The sequence below is a fragment of the Homo sapiens genome, chromosome 2 (genome assembly GCF_000001405.40).
Source record: "Homo sapiens chromosome 2, GRCh38.p14 Primary Assembly".
Classification (NCBI taxonomy): domain Eukaryota; kingdom Metazoa; phylum Chordata; class Mammalia; order Primates; family Hominidae; genus Homo; species Homo sapiens.
The window spans coordinates 208,750,384-208,774,919 of NC_000002.12; the positions used below are offsets into that span (position 1 = coordinate 208,750,384).

The 24,536-nt window shown below is 36.6% G+C and overlaps 2 long non-coding RNA genes across 2 annotated transcripts in view; one reads left to right on the top strand and one right to left on the bottom strand.

The window, feature by feature from the left end:
* Nucleotides 1–24,536, top strand: part of LOC101927960 (uncharacterized) — a 282,946-nt gene that overhangs the window by 207,742 nt on the left and 50,668 nt on the right. The gene's annotated exons all lie outside the window — the stretch shown is intronic.
* Nucleotides 6,891–23,313, bottom strand: LOC105373857 (uncharacterized). Its single transcript, XR_007088063.1, has 4 exons — nucleotides 23,280–23,313; nucleotides 18,456–18,515; nucleotides 7,455–7,534; nucleotides 6,891–7,109 (listed from the first exon to the last, which is right to left on the bottom strand). It is a non-coding gene; the product is annotated as an uncharacterized LOC105373857 (long non-coding RNA).

The following is a 24,536-nucleotide window of genomic DNA, read 5'->3' on the forward strand; positions in this document are numbered from 1 at the left end:
GTCTCTGCACATGAGATGGGTTTCCTGAATACAGCACACTGATGGGTCTTGACTCTTTATCCAATTTGCCAGTCTGTGTCTTTTAATTGGAGCATTTAGTCCCTTTACATTTACAGTTAATATTGTTATGTGTGAATTTGATCCTGTCATTATGATGTTAGCAGGTTATTTTGCTCGTTAGTTGATGCAGTTTCTTCCTAGTCTTGATGGTCTTTACATTTTGGCATGATTTTGCAGCGGCTGGTACTGGTTGTGCCTTTCCATGTTTAGCGCTTCCTTCAGGAGCTCTTTTAGGGCAGGCCTGGTGGTGACAAAATCTCTCAGCATTTGCTTGTCTGTATTTTATTTCTCCTTCACTTATGAAGCTTAGTTTGGCTGGATATGAAATTCTGGGTTGAAAATTCTTTTCTTTAAGAATGTTGAATATTGGCCCCCACTCTCTTCTGTCTTGTAGAGTTTCTGCTGAGACATCTGCTGTTAGTCTGATGGGCTTCCCTTTGAGTGTAACTCGACCATTCTCTCTTTCTGCCCTTAACATTTTTTACTTCATTTCAACTTTGGTGAATCTGACAATTATGTGTCTTGGAGTTGCTCTTCTCGAGGAGTATCTTTGTGGCATTCTCTGTATTTCCTGAATGTGAATGTTGGCCTGCCTTGCTAGATTGGGGAAGTTCTCCTGGATAATATCCTGCAGAGTGTTTTCCAACTTGGTTCCATTCTCCCTGTCACTTTCAGGTACACCAATCAGATGCAGATTTGGTCTTTTCACATAGTCCCATATTTTTGGAGGCTTTGCTCATTTCTTTTTATTCTTTTTTCTCTAAACTTCCCTTCTGGCTTCATTTCATTCATTTCATCTTCCATCACTGATACCCTTTCTTTCAGTTGATTGTATCAGCTCCTGAGGCTTCTGCATTCTTCACGTATTTCTCGAGCCTTGACTTTCAGTTCCATCAGCTCCTTTAAGGACTTCTCTGTATTGGTTATTCTAGTTATACATTCATCTAAATTTTTTTCAAGGTTTTCAACTTCTTTGCCTTTGGTTTGAATTTCCTCCTGTAGCTCAGAGTAGTTTGATCGTCTGAAGCCTTCTTCTCTCAACTTGTCAAAGTCATTCTCTGTCCAGCTTTGTTCCGTTGCTGGTGAGGAACTGCGTTCCTTTGGAGGAGGAGAGGTGCTGTGCTTTTTAGAGTTTCCAGTTTTTCTGTTCTGTTTTTTCCCCATCTTTGTGGTTTTATCTACTTTTGGTCTTTGATGATGGTGATGTACAGATGGGTTTTTGGTGTGGATGTCCTTTCTGTTTGTTAGTTTTCCTTCTAACAGACAGGACCCTCAGCTGCAGGTCTGTTGGAGTTTGCTAGAGGTCCACTCCAGACCCTGTTTTCCTGGGTATCAGCAGCGGTGTCTGCAGAACCGCGGATTTTCGTGATCGGCGAATGCTGCTGTCTGATTGTTCCTCTGGAAGTTTTGTCCCAGAGGAGTACCCGGCCGTGTGAGGTTTCAGTCTGCCCCTACTGGGGGGTGCCTCACAGTTAGGCTGCTCGGGGGTCGGGGGTCAGGGACCCACTTGAGGAGGCAGTCTGCCTGTTCTCAGATCTCCAGCTGCGTGCTGGGAGAACCACTGCTGTCCTCAAAGCTGTCACACAGGGACATTTAAGTCTGCAGAGGTTACTGCTGTCTTTTTGTTTGTCTGTGCCCTGCCCCCAGAGGTGGAGCCTACAGAGGCAGGCAGGCCTCCTTGAGCTGCGGTGGGCTCCACCCAGTTGGAGCTTCCAGGCTGCTTTGTTTACCTAAGCGAGGCTGGGCAATGGCGGGCGCCCCTCCCCCAGCCTCACTGTGGCCTTGCAGTTTGATCTCAGACTGCTGTGCTAGCAATCAGTGAGATTCTGTGAGCGTAGGACCCTCCAAGCCAGGTGTGGGATATAGTCTCCTGTTGTGCCGGGTTTCCTAAGCCCGTCAGAAAAGCGCAGAATTCGGGTGGGAGTGGCCCGATTTTCCAGGTGCTGTCTCTCAGCCCTTTCCTTGACCAGGAAAGGGAACTCCCTGATCCCTTGTGCTTCCTGAGTGAGGCAATGCCTCGCCCTGCTTCGGCTCGCACACGGTGCGCTGCACCCACTGTCCTGCGCCCACTGTCTGGCACTCCCTAGTGAGATGAACCCGGTACCTCAGATGGAAATGCAGAAATCACCCGTCTTCTGCATCGCTCACGCTGGGAGCTGTAGACTGGAGCTGTTCCTATTCGGCCATCTTGGCTCCTCCTTCAAAAGACAACAATTTTAAACATTGGTATATTCTCTAGGAACCAGAGAATACATTAGACATTGACACAGATAATCCAAAGCATAAAATTCATTCCAATATTGGTAAATTATTACTTAAGTGTTACGCATTTATATTAACCACATATAACATTACACTTCTCTAAACAGCTTCAAGTCGTATGCAGGTAGATTATGATAATTCCTCACACGAATCACAGAAGAAACATTTCTTTTGCAAATATGTTAATGCATAAGTTTTAAGTAGACTGGCTTTATAATTGAATACATTTATGATAACATCCAGATGATCAAGAGTTTCAGGAAAGAAAGGTATAACTGCAATGGAACTGTGTTTCATTCAACAGCGATTCCCCATTTCCACCTCCTCCTAATCCTCTCGCAACCACCATTCTATGCTCTACTTCTATGAGTTTGACTATTTATATTAATGGAATCATACAGTATTTGTCCTTCTGTGACTGGCTTATTTAACTTAGCATACTGTATTCGAGGTTGTCACAAAAGGTAATATTTTTATTTTTTTAAAAGCTAAATAATATTTCACTGTATGAATATACCACATTTTTCTTATTCATCGGTTGATAATCATTTGGTTTGTTTTCACATTATGGCTGTTGTGAATAATGCTGCAACAAATGTGGAAATGCAGATATTTCTTTGAGACCCTGATTCTAACTCTTTTGAATACATACTCTTAAGTGTAATAGCTGGATCATATGGTAGTTCTACTTTTACTTTTTGGAAGAAACTACATGTTGTTTTCCATTTGGCTTCACCATTTTTCATTGCCACCAACAATGTGCAAGAGTTCCAATTTCTTCACGTCCTGGATAACACTTTTTTTAATGTTTATTTATTTTATAAAAATAGAGGCTGGGATTTGCTATGTTGCCCAGGCTAATTTTGAACTCCTGGGCTCAGTGATTTCCCCACCTTGGCCTCAGAAAGTACTGGAATTAGATGTGTGACCCACTGTGCCTAGGCTTTTTTTTTTTATTTTTTTAACACTAGTTATTCTAACAGGTATGAGGTAATATCTCATTATGGTTTTGGTCAGCATTTCCCTGATGACTGGTGATGCTGAGCAGCTTTTCATATACCTGTTGGCTATTTGTATGTCTTTGGAAAAATGAAAGACCTTTTTATTTACAAGTGCTGTTGAAATCCTTTGCCCATTTTTCATCAGTTTGTTTTTTTGCTATTCAGTTGTAGGACAAATTCTAATACATTTTGGGTATTAATCCCTTATGAGATAGATGGTTTGCAAATATTTTCTCTTGTTCCATAGGTTGCCTCTTTACTTTGATTTTTTTCATTGCTGTGCAGAGCATTTTAATTTGACGTAGTTCCATCTATTTTTTTATTTTGCTGCTTGCGTCAAATTCATGAAATAATTGACAAGACCATTGCCCAAAAGATTTTCCCCTGTGTTTCTTTTGGAGTTTACAGTTTCAGGTCTTATGTTTAAGTCTTTAATCCATTTCGAGCAACTTTTGTATATGGTGTAAATTAGGAGTCTAATTCCATTCTTTTTCATGAGGATATTCAGTTTTTCTAACACCATTTATTGAAGAGGCTGTCTTTTCCCACTGTGTGTTCTTAACATCCTTGCTAAAGATCAGTTGACTGAATATGCACGGTTTTATTTCTGGGCTCTCTACTTTGTTAGATTGGTCTATGTGTCTGTTTTTATGCCAGTACCATATTGTTTTGATTACTGTGGCTTTGTAATATATTTTGAAACCAGGGAATATGATCCCTCTAGCTTTGTTCTTCTTTCTCAAGATTGCTCTGGTGATTTGGAGTCTTTTGTGTTTCCATATGAATTGTAGAATTGTATTTTCTATTTGTGAGGAAATGCCTTTGGAATTTTGATAGGGATTTCATCGAATCTGTAGATCACTTCATGTAGTATGGGCATTTTAGAAACGTTAATTCTTCCACTCCATGAACACAAGATCTCTTTCCATTTATTTGTTTCTTGTTTAACTTCATCAGTGTTTTATGATTGTTAGTATACAAGTCTTTGACCTCCTTGGTTTTATTGGTTTAAATATTTTAGTAACAGTTTTAAATATTTAAATAAATACTTGATTTATTCCTTAGCATTTGATTCTTCTGATGCTATTGTTAATGATATTGTTTTCTTATTTTTTTCAAATACTTCCTTGATATTTATATGTTCAACTGATATTTATATGTTGATGTTGTATACTGCAATTTTGCTAAATTGATTTATTAGTTTTTGTTTTATCAGGGTTTTTTTGTATGTGGCATCTTTAGAGTTTCCTAGATATAAAATTATATCATCTGCAAAAAGACAATTTTACTTCTTTCTGCTTTGCATGTCTTTTATATCTTTTTCTTGCTTAATTGGACTGGCTGGCACTGCCATTAAAGACTGCCACCTGGTACCTATATACAAGATAGTACCTATAGTTAGGTACCTATAGTTAACAATACCTGTAATTAACTATGGTATTATGTACTTTAAATTACCTTAAGAGGATAGATCTCATATTAAGTGTTATGTCAAACAACCCCCTGCCAAATCCCACGAAGAACATAAGGAAATTTTTGGAGGTGATGAATATGTTTGGTACCTTGATTGTAGTGATGGCATCATGGTTGTTTGCATGTGTGTCCAAACTCATGAAAAGGTATAAATTTAATATGTGTGGGTTTTTTTGTTTATCAGTTATACCTCAATAACGCTTAATATAATCATTCAAAAAATAAGAATAATTTATAGTTTTTAATATTAGAAAAACACAAGTGAAAGGAATGTTTAATAAAAGGTGTTTAAGTTATATATATTTTTATAATATAAATGGCTTTTTATAGTGGCTTCTTTATTTTTGGGTGGTAGCATTTCTCTTACAATTTAAACTGCAAAAATTGCAAAGATAGAAGTTATTGATATTTAATTTTATTAAATTTTTAAAATTTATTATTTAAATTATATTTAAATAATACACATTCATATCTAGAAGGAATAGGAAGTAGATATTTTAAAGGAGAAAAACCGCAAGGGTTCAACATCAGAGTTAAATTAAATTTAAATTTACCTAACCAAAAAAATGTCACTTGAATTTAAACTTGGTATAATGTGTATCATTATATCTCAGCAATTTATTAGATAGATTTTGGTGCCCATTTATTTGGGGCTTTTTCAAATTGGCTTCATTTGCTAATTACTACTTGGTTGTTTTCATCACTTTTCAAGTTCTATTGCTGGGAAATTTATAAAATAATATTGTAGTTAACCAGTTCAACCAAAGGATCTATGGAATATATAGTTTTGATTTTTCATGTTAAGGCTAGCTGGTACTTGTTAAGTCTTACTAAATGTTAGCCAGTTTGGAAATAAAATTACTTCTTAAAAGTTAATATCATGTAACAATTGATAATTGTTAAGCAAAAGAGTCAGACCATCAGTCATCTGTATTATAAAACTGACTTTGGAGGAATTAAAGAAAAATATTCTTTTAATTTTTAGTTTTATTTTACATTTTATTAAATTGATAATGACTTGCTTATGTCATAGAAGCTGGTAAGAAACCAAAGAGTTTCATCTTGAAAATGACTCACTCCAAAGTAATAAATGTCTTCTTGGATGTTCAGATTAAATACTAGATAGTTTGAGAAGTAATTTGAGTCTGAGTTCTGGCAATTCATCATATAGGGTGATTGCCAAAGTAGCAGAACATTTGCAAAGAATAGAGATAAAAGGAATGATTTACATTGTTTAAAAATTAAGAAAAATTAACATATAATAGAAAGTTACTGAAACAAACATTTGAAATGACATTAATATTTTAAAAAATCTGGATTTATGTCACTTGTCACATGTTTTCATAGCTGAAATTATATCACATGATAAAATCAGATCAATCAAGGATAAAGTCCTGGTTATAGCTAGTCTTCTATCACTCATTCATTCACCAAATATCAAGTGCCTACTATATGCTCGGATCTATGTTGGTGAAAGAAGGATGATTAAGGTGGCTTTCAAACCTCACAAGTTGCTTACAGTGAAGTAAGATTAAGGCAATTTGGATTCCTCAGATTGGCTGTGTTTTCTGAATGGATCAATGAAAAGCTGTGGTTGTCTTGAGTGGTCTTTCTTGCACAGAAAGGTGAACTCGAATACACTCTAAAGTGAGTTTAAAATAATACAACTATACTGGATTTAAAAAAAAAACCATGAAATGAATAGCTTCTTTCTGGTAAAATATAGTGAATATAGAAGACCATTTGATGATCTAGTCAAAGATCCAAGGGCGATTTTTTGTATGTAGTGGATAGAAGAGGAGAGACCCTCTATGTATCTATCAATCATCTCTATCTACCTATCTATCTATCACCTAGTTTTGCTATTGTTTTTCCCTAATTACACTAGCACATAGCAATCATATTAGAAGAAAACATTACATATATAAAGTCATGGTACATAGACCGTAAGATCATGTTTGAAAATGACTTAGAGAGATTTACTGGTGGTTTAAAAATCAATTTTTATTGGATGCTTTCATCTGTTTAGAAACACATATTATATAAAGAACTTTTGAGTGTTACATTGTTATGTACACTGCTGTAATCTTTTGGTTCAGCATGCAACTCATCTTTCTATTTGGGGATGATTCCCCATGTATATTGTCTCTGTGAAGGAAAACAGAACTATGTGTTGGCATTCAACAATATACTCATCCTCTTCAACAACTGTTCAAGAATCACAGGAACTGGACAGCTAGGAACTACATTTTGGAGACTTCCTTATTAGCAGAGTTGTGTTCAGATCCCACTCATTAGGCATTCACACGGCATCTGGAAAGTGGACAGGAAGCATTCAGCATTGGCAAGTGAACTCAAAGCATTTGCCCAACATGAAGATTTGCAGCAGTAGCTGGGAATTCTCATACAAATCACCTACTTAGGTGCTGACAGGCAAATGTTGTCATTGGTAATAAATATCCTTCTAACATGTTTGACTAAAGCAGCATTAGTTACATCCAGAGTATTTGAACACTAGCAAAAATCTGCATGCTAGAAGCTCTTTCAGTTGTTTCATAAGCCCCTAGTTCTTTTTATTAAATCTCTTCCTGGTGAAACACTTAGAATGAGGTCTCTTTTTCTGATCAAATTTTGACTGATACAGAGGAAATGTCCTACCTGTACCATACGATCCAAAAGAAGAGAATCCTCCTGTTTCTTTTCTTATGGTAGCTTAATGTCCTGAAGTTGGCTTCTTCCTGGGTGGCGAGGCAAATGAGTAATTATAATGCGCTGGTGATAGCAGCAGACATGCGTCCAGTGGCAGAAGCATCAAGGGCCAGTGATGACTGTGATGTCAGACATTTTTCTCTTTTTCTGATAAAAGAGATTGGCTTTGATATTTGATGCTTCCATACCACCTAGTATTTCACTTGCTTTTCTTTATTTTTTTTATTATACTTTAAGTTCTAGGGTACATGTGCACAACATTCAGGTTTGTTACATACATATACATGTGCCATGTTGGTGAGCTGCACCCATTAACTCGTCATTTACCTTAGGTATATCTCCTAATGCTATCCCTCCACCCTCCCCTCACCCCACAACAGGCCCCAGAGTGTGATGTTCCCCTTCCTGTGCCCATGTGTTCTCATTGTTCAATTCCCATCTATGAGTGAGAACATGCGGTGTTTGGTTTTTTTTCCTTGCGATAGGTTGCTGAAATTGATGGTTTCCAGCTTCATCCATGTCCCTACAAAGGACATGAACTCATCATTTTTTATGGCTGCATAGTATTCCATGGTGTATATGTGCCACATTTTCTTGATCCAATCTATCATTGTTGGACATTTGGCTTGGTTTCAAGTCTTTGCTATTGTGAATAGTGCCGCAATAAACATACGTGTGCATGTGTCTTTATAGCAGCATGATTTATAATCCTTTGGGTATATACCCAGTAATGGGATGGCTGGGTCAAATGGTATTTCTAGTTCTAGATCCTTGAGGAATTGCCACACTGTCTTCCACAATGGTTGAACTAGTTTACGGTCCCACTAACAGTGTAAAAGTGTTCCTATTTCTCCACATCCTCTCCAGCACCTGTTGTTTCCTGACTTTTTAATGATTGCCGTTCTAACTGGTGTGAGATGGTATCTCATTGTGGTTTTTATTTGCATTTCTCTGATGGCCAGTGATGATGAGCATTTTTTCATGTGTCTGTTGGCTGCATAAATGTTTTTTTTTGTTTTTTGAGACAGTCTCGCTCTGTCGCCCAGGCTGGAGTGCAGTGGTGTGATCTTGACTCACTGCAATTTCCACTTCCTGGGTTCACGCCATTCTCCCACCTCAGCCTCCCAAGCAGGTGGGACTACAGGTACCTGCTACCACACCCAGCTGATTTTTTTGTATTTTTTATTAGAGACGGGGTTTCACCATGTTAGCCAGGATGGTCTCGATCTCCTGACCTCGTGATCCACCCGCCTCAGCCTCCCAAAGTGCTGGGATTACGGGCATGAGCCACTGCACCCACTCCCCATAAATGTCTTCTTTTGAGAAGTATCTCTTCATATACTTTGCCCACTTTTTGATGGGGTTGTTTTTTTTCTTGTAAATTTGAGTTCTTTTTAGATTCTGGATATTAGCCCTTTGTCAGATGAGTAGATTGCAAAAATTTTCTCCCATTCTGTAGGTTGCCTGTTCACTCTGATGGTAGTTTCTTTTACTGTGCAGAAGCTCTTTAGTTTAATTAGATACCATTTGTCAGTTTTGGCTTTTGTTGCCATTGCTTTTGGTGTTTTAGACATGAAGTCCTTGCCCATGCCTATGTCCTGAATGGTATTGCCTAGATTTTCTTCTAGGATTTTTATGGTTTTAGTTCTAACATTTAAGTCTTTAATCCATCTTGAATTAATTTTTGTATAAGGTGTAAGGAAGGGATCCAGTTTCAGCTTTCTACATATGGCTAGCCAGTTTCCCAGCATCATTTATTAAATAGGGAATGCTTTCCCCATTTCTTGTTTTTGTCAGGTTTGTCAAAGATCAGATAGTTGTAGATGTGTGGTATTATTTCTGAGGGCTCTGTTCTGTTCCATTGGTCTATATCTGTGTTGTGGCACCAGTACCATGCTGTTTTGGTTACTGTAGCCTTGTAGTATAGTTTGAAGTCAGGTAGTGTGATGCCTCCAGCTTTGTTCTTTTGGCTTAGCATTGACTTGGTGATGCGGGCTCTTTTTTGGTTCCATATGAACTTTAAAGTAGTTTTTTCCAATTCTGTGAAGAAAGTCATTGGTAGCTTGATGGGGATGGCATTGAATCTATAAATTACCTTGGGCAGTATGGCCATTTTCACAATATTGATTCTTCCTATCCATGAGCATGGAATGTTCTTCCATTTGTTTGTGTCCTTTTTTATTTCATTAAGCAGTGGTTTGTAGTTCTGCTTGAAGAGGTCCTTCACATGCCTTGTAAGTTGGATTCCTAGGTATTTTATTCTCTTTGAAGCAATTGTGAATGGGAGTTCACTCATGATTTGGCTCTCTGTTTGTCTGTTATTGGTGTATAAGAATGCTTGTGATTTTTGCACATTGATTTTGTATCCTGAGGCTTTGCTGAAGTTGCTTATCAGCTTAAGGAGATCTAGGGCTGACACAATGGGGTTTTCTAAATATACAATCATCATGTCATCTGCAAACAGGGACAATTTTACTTCCTCTTTTCCTAATTGAATACCCTTTATTTCTTTCTCCTGCCTGATTGCCCTGGCCAGAACTTCCAACACTATGTTGAACTGGAGTGGTGCGAGAGGACATCCCTGTCTTGTGCCAGTTTTCAAAGGGAATGCTTCCAGTTTTTGCCCATTCAGTATGATATTGGCCGTGGGTTTGTAATAAATAGCTCTTGTTATTTTTTGATATGTCCCATCAATACCTAATTTATTGAGAGTTTTTAGCATGAAGGGCTGTTGAATTTTGTGGAAGGCCTTTTCTGCATCTATTGAGATAATCATGTGGTTTTTGTCTTTGGTTCTGTTTCTGTGCTGGATTACGTTTATTGATTTGTGTATGTTGAACCAGACTTGTATGCCAGGGATGAAGCCCACTTGATCATGGTGGATAAGATTTTTGATGTGCTGCTGGATTCGGTTTGCCAGTATTTTATTGAGGATTTTTGCATTGATGTTCATCAGGGATATTGGTCTAAAATTCTCTTTTTTGGTTGTGTTTCTGCCAGACTTTGGTATCAGGATGATGCTGGCTTCATAAAATGAGTTAGGGAGGATTCCCTCCTCTTCTATTGTTTGGAATAGTTTCAGAAGGAATGGCCTCTGCTGCTGATACCCAGGCAAACAGCGACTGGAGTGGACTTCCAGCATACTCCAACAGACCTGCAGCTGAGGGTCCTGACTGTTAGTAGGAAAACTAACAAACAGAAAGGACATCCACACCAAAACCCCATCTGTACATCACCATCATCGACGTCCAAAGGTAGATAAAACCTCAAAGATGGGGAAAAAACAGAGCAGAAAAGCTGAAAATTCTAAAAATCAGAGCACCTCTTCCCCTCCAAAGGAACACAGCTCCTTGCCAGCAATGGAACAAAGCTGGATGGAGAATGACTTTGACGAGTTGAGAGAAGAAGGCTTCAGATGATCAAAGTTCTCTGAGCTAAAGGAGGAAGTACGAACCCTTTGCAAAGAAGCTAAAAACCTTGAAAAAAGATTAGACGAATGGCTAACTAGAATAAGCAGTGTAGAGAAGTCCTTAAATGAACGGATGGAGCTGAAAACCATGGCACGAGAACCACGTGATGAATGCACAAACTTCAGTAGCCGATTTGATCAACTAGAAGACAGAGAGGGTATCAGTGATTGAAGATCAAATGAATGAAATGAAGTGAGAAGAGAAGTTTAGAGAAAAAAGAGTAAAAAGAAATGAACAAAGCTTCCAAGAAATATGGGACTATGTGAAAAGACCAAATCTACGTCTGATTGCCATACCTGAAAGTCATGGGGAGAATGGAACCAAGTTGGAAAACACTCTGTAGGATATTATCCAGGAGAACTTCCCCAACCTAGCAAGGCAGGCCAAAATTCAAATTCAGGAAATACAGAGAAGAGAATGCCACAAAGATACTCCTCGAGAAGAGCAACTCCAAGACACATAATTGTCAGATTCACCAAAGTTGAAATGAAGGAAAAAATGTTAAGGGCAGCCAGAGAGAAAGGTCGGGTTACCCACAAAGGGAAGCCCATCAGACTAACAATGGATCTCTCAGCAGAAACTCTACAAGCCAGAAGAGAGTGGGGGCCAATATTCAACATTCTTAAAGAAAAGAATTTTCAACCCAGAATTTCATATCCAGCCAACGTAAGCTTCATAAGTGAAGGAGAAATAAAATCCTTTACAGACAAGCAAATGCTGAGAGATTTTGTCACCACTAGACCTGCCCTACAAGAGCTACTGAAGGAAGCACTAAACATGGAAAGGCACAACCAGTACCAGCCCCTGCAAAAACATGCCAAATTGTAAAGACCATCGATGCTAGGAAGAAACTGCATCAACTAACGAGCAAAATAACCAGCTAACATCATAATGACAGGATCAAATTCACACATAACAATATTAATCTTAAATGTAAATGGGCTAAATACTCCAATTAAAAGACACAGACTGGCAAATTGGATAAAGAGTCAAGACCCATCAGTGTGCTATATTCAGGAGACCCATCTCATGTGCAGAGACACACATAGGCTCAAAATAAAGGGATGGATGAAGATCTACCAAGCAAATGGAAAGCAAAAAAAGGCAGGGGTTGCAATACTAGTCTGTGATATAACAGACTTTCAACCAACAAAGATCAAAAGAGACAAAGAAGGCCATTACATAATGGTAAAGGGATCAATTCAACAAGAAGAACTAACTATCCTAAATATATATGCACCCAATACAGGAGCACCCAGATTCATAAAGCAAGTCCTTAGAGACCTACAAAGAGACTTAGACTCCCACACAATAATAATGGGAGACTTTAACACCCCACTGTCAACATTAGACAGATCAATGAGACAGAAAGTTAACAAGGATATCCAGGAATTGAATTCAGCTCTGCACCAAGCAGACCTAATAGTCATCTACAGAACTCTCCACCCCAAATCAACAGAATATACATTCTTCTCAGCACCACACCGCACCTATTCCAAAACTGACCACATAGTTGGAAATAAAGCACTCCTCAGCAAATGTAGAACAGAAATTACAACAGTCTCTCAGACAACAGTGCAATCAAACTAGAACTCGGGATTAAGAAACTCACTCAAAACCTCTCAACTACATGGCAACTGAACAACCTGCTCCTGAATGACTACTGGGTACACAACGAAATGAAGGCAGAAATGAAGTTGTTCTTTGAAACCAACGAGAAAAAAGACAAAACATACCAGAATCTCTGGGACACATTCAAAGCAGTGTGTAGAGGGAAATTTATAGCACTAAATGCCCACAAGAGAAAGCAGGAAAGATCTAAAGTTGACACCCTAACATCACAATTAAAAGAACTACAGAAGCAAGAGCAAACACATTCAAAAGCTAGCAGAAGGCAAGAAATAACAGATCAGAGCAGAACTGAAGGAGATAGATAGAGACACAAAAAACCCTTCAAAAAATCAATGAATCCAGGAGCTAGTTTTTTGAAAAGATCAACAAAATTGATAGACTGCTAGCAAGACTAATAAAGAAGAAAAGAGAGAAGGATCAAATAGATGCAATAAAAAAATGATAAAGGGGATATCACCACTGATCCTACAGAAATACAAACTACCATCAGAGAATACTATAAACACCTCTATGCAAATAAACTAGAAAATCCAGAAGAAATGGATAAATTCCTGGACACATACACTCTCCCAAGACTAAACCAGGAAGAAGTTGAATCTCTTAATAGACCAATAACAGGCTCTGAAATTGAGGCGATAATTAATAGCTTACCAACCAAAAAAAGTCCAGGACCAGATGGATTCACAGCCGAATTCTACCAGAGGTACAAGGAGGAGCTGGTACCATTCCTTCTGAAACTATTCTAATCAATAGAAAAAGAGGGAATCCTCCCTAACTAATTTTATGAGGCCAGCATCAAAGTCTGGCAGATACACAACCAAAAAAGAGAATTTTAAACCAATATCCCTGATGAACATCAATGCAAAAATCCTCAATAAAATACTGGCAAACCGAATCCAGCAGCACATCAAAAAGCTTATCCACCATGATCAAGTGGGCTTCATCCCTGGGATGCAAGGCTGGTTCAACATACACAAATCAATAAATGTAATCCAGCACAGAAACAGAACCAAAGACAAAAACCACATGATTATCTCAATAGATGCAGAAAAGGCCTTCCACAAAATTCAACAGCCCTTCATGCTAAAAACTCTCAATAAATTAGGTATTGATGGGACATATCAAAAAATAATAAGAACTATTTATTACAAACCCATGGCCAATATCATACTGAATGGGCAAAAACGGGAAGCACTCCCTTTGAAAACTGGCACAAGACAGGGATGCCCTCTTTCACCACTCCAATTCAACATAGTGTTGGAAGTTCTGGCCAGGGCAATCAGGCAGGAGAAAGAAATAAAGGGTATTCAATTAGGAAAAGAGGAAGTAAAATTGTCCCTGTTTGCAGATGACTTGATGATTGTATATTTAGAAAACCCCATCATGTCAGCCCTAGATCTCCTTAAGCTGATAAGCAACTTCAGCAAAGCCTCAGGATACAAAATCAATGTGCAAAAATCACAAGCATTCTTATACACCAATAACAGACAAACAGAGAGCCAAATCATGAGTGAACTCCCATTCACCATTGCTTCAAAGAGAATAAAATACCTAAGAGAATAAACTACCAACTTACTTACAAGGCATGTGAAGGACCTCTTCAAGCAGAACTACAAACCACTGCTTAATGAAATAAAAGAGGACACAAACAAATGGAAGAACATTCCATGCTCATGGATAGGAAGAATCAATATCATGAAAATGGCCATACTGCCCAAGGTAATTTATAGATTCAATGCCATCCCCATCAAGCTACCAATGACTTTCTTCACAGAATTGGAAACAACTACTTTAAAGTTCATATGAAACCAAAAAAGAGCCCACATCGCCAAGTCAATGCTAAGCCAAAAGAACAAAGCTGGAGGCATCACACTACCTGACTTCAAACTATACTACAAGGCTACAGTAAACAAAACAGCATGGTACTGGTGCCACAACACAGATATAGACCAATGGAACAGAACAGAGCCCTCAGAAATAATACCACACATCTACAACTATCTAATCTTTGACAAACCTGACAAAAACAAGAAATGGGGAAAGCATTCTCTATTTAATAAATAAATGGTGCTGGGAAAACTGGCTAGCCATAAGTAGAAAGCTGAAACTGGATCCCTTCCTTACACCTTATACAAAAATTAATTCAAGATGAATTAAAGACGTACATGTTAGACCTAAAACCATAAAAATCCTAGAAGAAAACCTAGGCAACACCGTTCAGGACATAGGCATGGGCAAGGACTTCATGTCTAAAACACCAAAAGCAATGGCAACAAAAGCCAAAACTGACAAATGGTATCTAATTAAACTAAAGAGCTTCTGCACAGTAAAAGAAACTACCATCAGAGTGAACAGGCAACCTACAGAATGGGAGAAAATTTTTGCAATCTACTCATCTGACAAAGGGCTAATATCCAGAATCTAAAAAGAACTCAAACAAATTTACAAGAAAAAAACAACCCCATCAAAAAGTGGGCAAAGTATATGAACAGACACTTCTCAAAAGAGGACATTTGTGCAGCCAACAGACACATGAAAAAATGCTCATCATCACTGGCTATCAGAGAAGTGCAAATCAAAACCACAATAAAATATCATCTCACACCAGTTAGAATGGCGATCATTAAAAAGTCAGGAAACAACAGGTGCTGGAGAGGATGTGGAGAAATAGGAACACTTTGATACTGTTGGTGGGACTGTAAACTAGTTCAACCATTGTGGAAGTCAGTGTGGCGATTCCTCAAGGATCTAGAACTAGAAATACCATTTGACCCAGCCAACCCATTAGTGGGTATATACCCAAAGGATTATAAATCATGCTTCTATAAAGACACATGCACACGTATGTTTATTTAGGCCCTATTCACAATAGCAAACGCTTGGAAGCAACCCAAATGTCCATCAATGATGGGCTGGATTAAGAAAATGTGGCACATATGTACCATGGAATACTATGCAGCCATAAAAAATGGTGAGTTAGTGTCCTTTGCAGGGACATGGATGAAGCTGGAAACCATCATTCTGAGCAAACTATCGCAAGGACAAAAAACCAAACACCGCATGTTCTCACTCATAGGTGGGAATTGAACACTGAGAACACTTGGACACAGGAAGGGGAACATCACACACCGGGGCCTGTCATGGGGTGGGGGGAGGGGGAGGGATAGCATTAGGAGGTATACCTAATATGAATGATGCATTAATGTGTGCAGCACACAAACATGGCAGATGTATACATATGTAACAAACCTGCACGTTGTGCACATGTACCCTAGAACTTAAAGGATAATAAAATATACATATATATATTTCTATATATATATATATGTATAGAAAAGAAATAAGCTGAAACAGAGGAGGATGCTGATTAGGTAGCCAGAAGCTATTCTGTGTAACATGCATCTATTTTGTTAGATGCATTGCTTTAGTCTTTGCATCCCAATCTCTGTTTTTAATATGGTAACTCTTGTCTTCTGTTAATAACAGCGAATATTTTGCTTCAAAGGGGCATTCATACTGTCTTCACTCCTGAGCTGTCATTGAGATAACTCCAAAGAATCAAAATGTAAATACACTATAAAAATATAGTGGAAAAACTCAATGTTTATTTATTGAGCAAAAAGCTTACCTTTCCAAGGTTGTTATTTTTCTTTTATAGACTTGTGAGCTCTTAAAAAATAATTTGACAAGTAGAAGTGTTTTGACTGACACCATCTTACTTCTTTGTGCTCAAATTGAGAGGTAAAATAAATGCAAAAATATCCCCAATTCACTTGTCTGTCATACACAATAGGAATATTAAATTACAGCACAAACGTTATGGGATGTTCCAAAACTATGCTATTATAGACTGTTGGAGCAAGATAGCAAACCCAGTTAAATTCTGCAGAAGTGTTGATGTACCAGAGCCAACGCATTTAGGACTCCAAATCAGTAGGTTCCAATGCTTAATCCCAAGACCAGTGGCATCACCATCATGAGGGAACTAGTTAGAAATGCAATTCTTAGGCCCTATCCCAGCCCCACTGAATCAGGATCTCTGAGGGTAAGTTTCAGAAATCTGTTTCATCTAACTCTCTAGGGGATTCTAATGCACCCTGAAGGGTGAGAATGCCTGACCTAGACACTATCACCACAAAAGAGTATGAGCCAAGGGCAGAAGAAAATACCTTCCAGGCCTGCCATAGAGGGGTGTGTGTGTGTGTATGTGTGCGTCTATGTGTGTACACATATCTCAGGAAAAATTTTCCCCAGTGATTTAACACTTCTGAAGCAATTCTGAAAGATTATTTCTAAACATCACCCATTTCATTTGGCCAACATTGTTAATTTTCCAATTAAGGGAAAATATGGATTCATTAAGACCCTATTAGCTCATCTATATTTAACCTATCCAACTCTAATAACCATATCTATTTAATATTTTCTCTCCCCTTTAAAATTTATTAATCCTTTTATCCTTCTTAATCACCTATCACTTTAGAAAAAAGGTTGTTTGTTTGTTTGTTTGTTTTGTTTTTTAGCCAATGATACCCAGTTGCTGTCTGGAAGATAAACCTCCTTCCATTTTCAGACACAAAAAGAAGTTGCTCTAGGTCTATTCATAGTTGTACGCTCATATATGACTGAGTAGTTCTAGTTTCTACACTATTATTTTCTCCTGTAATTGTAATTTGAGAAGTTCACTGGCTTTCACATTTTGGGTTCATTACAGCCATTTACTTTATTCATTTTAATTTATTTTTACCGTTAGTTTTCTTGTTAAAAATAGTCAATGTTGCCTTCCAATTATTTTTCAGTAGCAAATACAGCACACATAATTGATGACTGCAGATGAATTAATTTGTCATAATTAGCATTAATATCAGCAGATAGCATGTGTGGAGTGTTCACTATATTCTTAGTACTTTAATACTCTGCTAAGAACATTGCAAGAATAATCACCTTTAATGTCATAATTTTTCATTACCTATAAAAAAACAACTGTATGTGCTATTGATATGTGTACTCTCGAATCTAGATTTGAACTATTGTTTTAATGACTCCCAAGAAAGGGATCAACTGCACCATGACTTAGAGTACTTACTGACTCAATTTTATAAATACATGGAAATTCTGTCTCATTATTTTGAATCCATATCTTCCTTCTTACCCCAAACTATAGCACCCAGTGTGGTGACTACCTAATTACATAATCTTGGCTCCAACAAGGTTTGACTCTTTTCAAGAATCAGATTAACCTTTAAAGGAATGTATCTTACCTTTCTTACAATTATTTGTACTAAGGTGAGAATGCTTTCAAAATGTAAAGGTTCATATTTACATAGCATTTCATTAGAAAAGAAGCAGAGCAGAGTGGCTCAGAATATGGACTTGAGAGTCACACAGCTTGAGTACTAACTAGTTTTTTCTGTTCCACAGCAATTCAGAAACATCTCTGTGGGTGTTTCTTCCTCCATGAAATGGAAATATTACCTATTCTTATGGTTTGGCTGTGTCTCCACCCAAATCTCATCTTGAATTGTAGCTCCCACAATTCCCACATGTTGTGGGAGGAACCCAGTGGGAGGTAATTGAATCATAGGGGCAGGTCTTTCCCATGCTGTTCTCCAGATAATGAATAAGTCTCATGAGATCTGATGGTTTTATAAAGAGGAGTTTCCCTGCCAAGTTCTCTCTTACCTGCCACCAGGTAATCTGTGACTTGCCCCTCCTTGCCTTCCACCATGATTGCGAGGCCTCCCCAGCCATGTGGAACTGTGAGTCAATTAGACCTCTTTTCTTTATAAATTACCCAGTCTCAGGGTATGTCTTTATCAGCAGTGTGAAAACAGACTAATACACCTACCTTACAAGGTTGCCATGAGGATGAGATGACACAGAAGATGCTAACAGGTCCCCACAGCATCTGGCAAACAGCAAGTACTCAATAAATGGCAGATTTCTTGTGAGTGTGTGTGTGTGTGTGTGTATGTGTATAGTGTGTTGTATTACATTCTTAGCATGAGAATTTAATATAACTCGATTAGATTGTCCTATCCTCTCATACTTCCAAAATCATTCTGCCTTTCCAGACATGTTCTTTGACTTTTGGAATAAAAGATCACAAATGTGTGAAGGGAAGTACATGAAAGTGTGAACAGAAGTGCATAAAACAAAGAAGGTAGAGGAATGAGGACTGAGGAGTCTTAGAGCTGGAGACAGAATCTGAATGGAGAAGATCAAGTAGGGCATTGGACAGGTAGAGAAGAGTGGGTACTTGAATTAGTGTTGCTGGGTCCTGTCTTCTCCAGGAAATAACAGTAAAGACCTTGAGTTATTTTGAAATTAGTTTTAGTAACATGGACTATTTTCCTCTATCAGACCAACATTTTTCTTAATAGATAGGGAATGTAGTTTCAGTTTTCCTTTAGTAATGACAGAGGTGTGTGGACACACCCCAATTTCTGAGTTCTTATTTATAACACAGTGAAAATGATTTCCTGAAGTGAGAAATTCAAAATAAGCTCTCTATATTTATAATTTAATAAACAGCATGATTTATATATCTGACCAAACTTAACTTAATAATTATAAGTATTATTTAGCTTTAAAAAATGTGCCTTAAATCTCAAAATGAATGCTGATTTTCAGAAGCACCTTTATATGATTTGATGTTTCTCAGAAGCACCTTTATATGATTTGATGTTTCTTGTTCCCCAAAGATATTTCCATTAGTGGTATAACATTCCAAAGGTGTTAGGTTTTGTTTGTAATTTATGCATAAGAAATGAAAACAAGCAAGAGGATATTTCCAGCTTTTGGATTTATTAATTTTGTTCTCTAACAAACAACCTAAGCTTTCTGTGTCATATGGGTATGTGTGTTTAACTGACATAGGCATGACTAGGGATATTCATAAATCATAGTACCCTGTCCCTAAAAATCAGAAAAATTGGAAAGTTGATAGGAATTTTTGTCTCATTATAAGTAGAAAGTAGTTGAATGACTGGGTTGGCCCAGCTTTGTATAATTAATCCCAAGGAACCACAATGTAAATAAATTATTTAAAAATCAGGACTATATATTTAATGTGAAATCGTATTTCTCCAGATATGTAATTAGTAATAAGAGACATCCTGTTTCCAAAGATGTTTCCTTGTTCAAAATCAACCTAAAGTTTTTAAAATCCACATAAAACAATAGCACATGTAAATTAAGTCTACTTTTTTTTGTGTCACGCAGATAGCAAGCAGTGATAGATATTAACTACACAGATAACAGATATTAACTGCACAGATGTCAGATATTAACTATACAGGTGTCTGATATTTGTCATACACAGCAACCAAAGAAAAAGAAAGCAAAGGAGGTAGAGGGACATGTATTCAGCTTCTAATATGGATCAGGTTTTGTGCTTGATGTCATTATATACATTATACACATTAATCCTCCAAAAAATCCCCAAAGCTAAATTCAGCTTTCCTACAGCATAATGTAAATGAGACTACACAGATTGTACTCCTTTGTGTCTTTTTTTTCACTCTGAATAATTTTGCTCTCATAACCTCATAGAAAACAGTAAGTCGTTCTTTTTAATAAAAATCAGTGTCAGGATCTGAAACCAAACTTGTCAATTTTCTAAATTTATGCTCTTTTTATCCTTTCTACAGGGATGAAAAGCTAATGCATGGCAAATCTATGATCCTTTAAGAAATAAGGATAACAAAACATACCAAAAAATTCTCAATAGCACTGATAATCCTATTAAGAAAATTAAAATCAGATATTACCACTTACCTAGTAGATTGGTAAAAAGGAAAGTCTCAACAAAATAAGTTGGGACAAGAATGTTGACAACAGAAACTCATATCTGCTGGTGATAATATAAATTAGTAGAGTCGTTTTGAAAACATTTTGGAGTTATCTGGAAAGCTGGAAGGTTTGCATATTCTGCAAACCAGCTACTTCACTTGTAGAGTATGTGTGTGTACCTTGGAGGAACTCTTGCGTATGTAAACCACAATACATGCAAAAGAATGTTATGGAAACATTATTTGCAATAGCCCAGAACAGAAATAGCTCTGAACTATCACAGTTCCGAATTGAAATTAATCTGAATGTCTATCAAGAGGAGAAGATGTCTACAAATTGCTGTGTATTCACACAATCAAATTTTATGCAGTGATGAAAACAAATTTAGCACAGTTATATACAACAACATGAATGCTTCTAATAAAAATGCTGACCTAGAGATCCTCCTGCAAAATCACTTCAATAAATAGTGCAAGACAGAATAAATTTAGGTGAAAAAATAAAACCAGCAAAAGCAAAAATAGAGGAAAATTTCCCAACACATTTCAGGAAGTTAGGATAACCAATACAAAAATCAAATATCTATATCACCTATGAATATAGATGTAAAAACTAAAAATAAAATATTAAACATTAAATTAAGTAGTATATTAAAAGATTATTTTGAATGAGTTATGTTTATTCAAAACTTAAAAAGTTCAACATAAGTTTATTATTCAATAAATAGATAAATGAAAAAAACCCCAATTAAAACTCTAAGCAAACCAGGATTAGAAGAACACTTCAATAACCTTATAAATTATATTCAACAGGAATCGGACAAACCAGTAAATGTGAACTATGTGAAGTAGTTCATCAAATTCCCTAAGTTAGTGATTCCTGAAATCACCATTTTGATTTAGCTAGCCAACGCAATAAGTGAAGGAATAAAATAGGAGGCGTCAATATTGAAAAGAAAAAGACTACTATAATTTAAATACCACATTACCATTTTCCTCAAAAATTTAAAAGAAACAGGTAAAAATATTTTAGGACTAATAAGGAAGTTCATCAAAATGGTCTAATACAAAATATATACTTTTCTACATATTAATAAAAAACAACTTAAAAATAGAAGGGAAATTCCATTCAAAACAATCTATAAAATGCATAGGACAAGGACAATTCAAAGGAGAGCGGTTAGTCTTTTCAGCAAATAATAAAAGAACAACTGAACATCCAAATGAAAAAATAAATCTGGATGGGTATTTTATATGCAATTTAAAAATTAACTCAAAATGAATGAGAGATAAATGTTGTAAAATGGGCCTTTTTTTTTTTTTTTTTTTGAGACAGAGTTTGGCTCTTGTTGCTCAGACTGGAGTGCAATGGTGCAATTTCGGCTCACCGCAACACCCGTCTCCCGGGTTCAAGCAATTCTTCTGCCTCAGCTTCCTGAGTAGCTGGGATTACAGGCATGCACCACCATGCATTTGGGCTCATATATTTTAAAACTGCCTGCAAAGTTTGAACACCACTTCCTGGGACTTATTCCTAGAAATCAGTGATCTGGTTCTTTAATTTGTATTTCCCCCAGTATTCCTACCAGACAGAAAAAAATGCCCGTGGGAAACATAATATTTTTAGTTACATTACAACTCTACATTTGATAATCCTGCATACATATATAATGTAGAATTAACCACAGTAAGAATTTTATAATTAGCCTAGTAGCCATTCATCTGTGAGAGCAAATAAAAACGTCAGTCAATCTCAGATATGTAGATCTCCAAAATTTATCTTTTTCTTTAAAAAACAACAAATATACAGAAATAGTCAAAAGTCAAATATTTACCTGAGGTACTTCTGGATCAAAACCAAAATCTTTAAAAATATAGTTTTCAAGAATTAGAGTTGAGCCATGAAATCAATCGAGTGTATAGATGTGGACATTGAAAACTATATGTTTCTAAAACAGATTTATATGACAACAACAATAATTTATAGGCAATGTAATTAGGAAGAAAATAAAATTAAGTGGTAAAACTACTTCAAGGGACAAAGAAAAATATTGCTGTTTGCAGGTAATGTTGTCCACATAGGGTAGCCAATAGAATCTCCTATAAGAATATTAAAACAAAAGAATTCAATAATTTGGCCAGATTAAAAATCAGTAGCAAACATCAATAACCTTTCTGAGTTTAGGCAGTTACCAGTTAGAACATATACTCTAAAATACTATTAACAAAAGAAACAAACACAGCAAAAAATTTAAAACAGCTGTGCACTCTGTATATGAAAGACTGTGAAAGTGTACTTACTAAGTGACCAAAGAGGTCATAATAAGTAGAAATAGAAAGCACAAATTTGAATATAAGAATTGAATATTATTTATTAAAAATTTTTTAAAATTTTAAATTTATTAAAAATATTTTTATTTTTTATTAAATTTTTAAATTTATTAAAAATATTTTTATTTTTTATTAAATTTTTAAATTTATTAAAAATATTTTTATTTTTTATTAAATTTTTTAAAAATTATTTAAATTTATTAAAAATATTTTTATTTTTTATTAAAATAAAAATATTCAATTCTTATATTCAAATTTGTGCTTTCTATTTCTACTCATTAAGACCTCTTTGGTCATTTAGTAAGTACATTTTCACGGTTTTTCATATACAGAGTGCACAGCTGGGGATATCACCACCGATCTCACAGAAATACAAACTACCATCAGAGAATACTACAAACACCTCTACGCAAATAAACTAGAAAATCTAGAAGAAATGGATAAATTCCTCGACACATACACCCTCCCAAGACTAAACCAGGAAGAAGTTGAATCTCTGAATAGACCAATAACAGGCTCTGAAATTGTGGCAATAATCAATAGCTTACCAATCAAAAAGAGTCCAGGACCAGATGGATTCACAGCCGAATTCTACCAGAGGTACAAGGAAGAACTGGTACCATTCCTTCTGAAACTATTCCAATCAATAGAAAAACAGGGAATCCTCCCTAACTCATTTCATGAGACCAGCATCATCCTGAGACCAAAGCCTGGCAGAGACACAACCAAAAAAGAGAATTTTAGATCAATATCCTTGATGAACATTGATGCAAAAATGTTCAAATAAAATACTCAAAAAAATACTGGCAAACCAAATCCAGCAGCACATCAAAAAGCTTATCCACCATGATCAAGTGGGCTTCATCCCTGGATGCAAGGCTGGTTCAATATACACAAATCAATAAATGGAATGCGGCATAGAAACAGAACCAAAGACAAAAACCACATGATTATCTCAATAGATGCAGAAAAGGCCTTTGACAAAATTCAACAACGCTTCATGCTAAAAACTCTCAATAAATTAGGTATTGATGGGATGTATCTCAAAATAATAAGAGCTATCTATGACAAACCCACAGCCAATATTATACTGAATGGGTAAAAACTGGAAGCATTCCCTTTGAAAACTGGCACAAGACAGGGATGTCCTCTCTCACCACTCCTATTCAACATAGTGTTGGAAGTTCTGGCCAGGGCAATTAGGCAGGAGAAGGAAATAAAGGGTATTCAATTAGGAAAAGAGGAAGTCAAATTGTCCCTGTTTGCAGATGACATGATTGTATATCTAGAAAACCCCATTGTCTCAGCCCAAAATCTCCTTAAGCCGATAAGCAACTTCAGCAAAGCCTTAGGATACAAAATCAATGTACAAAAATCACAAGCATTCTTATACACCAAGAACAGACAGAGAGCCAAATCATGAGTGAACTCCCATTCACAATTGCTTCAAAGAGAATAAAATACTTAGGAATCCAACTTACAAGGGACGTGAAGGACCTCTTGAAGGAGAACTACAAATGACTGCTCAAGGAAATAAAAAGGATAGAAACAAATGGAAGAACATTCCATGCTCATGGGTAGGAAGAATCAACATCGTGAAAATGGCCATACTGCCCAAGGTAATTTATAGATTCAATGCCATCCCCATCAAGCTACCAATGACTTTCTTCACAGAAGTGGAATGGAACCAAAAAAGAGCCCACATCACCAAGTCAATCCTAAGCCAAAAGAACAAAGCTGGAGGCATCACGCTACCTGACTTCAAACTATACTACAAGGCTACAGTAACCAAAAAAGCATGGTAC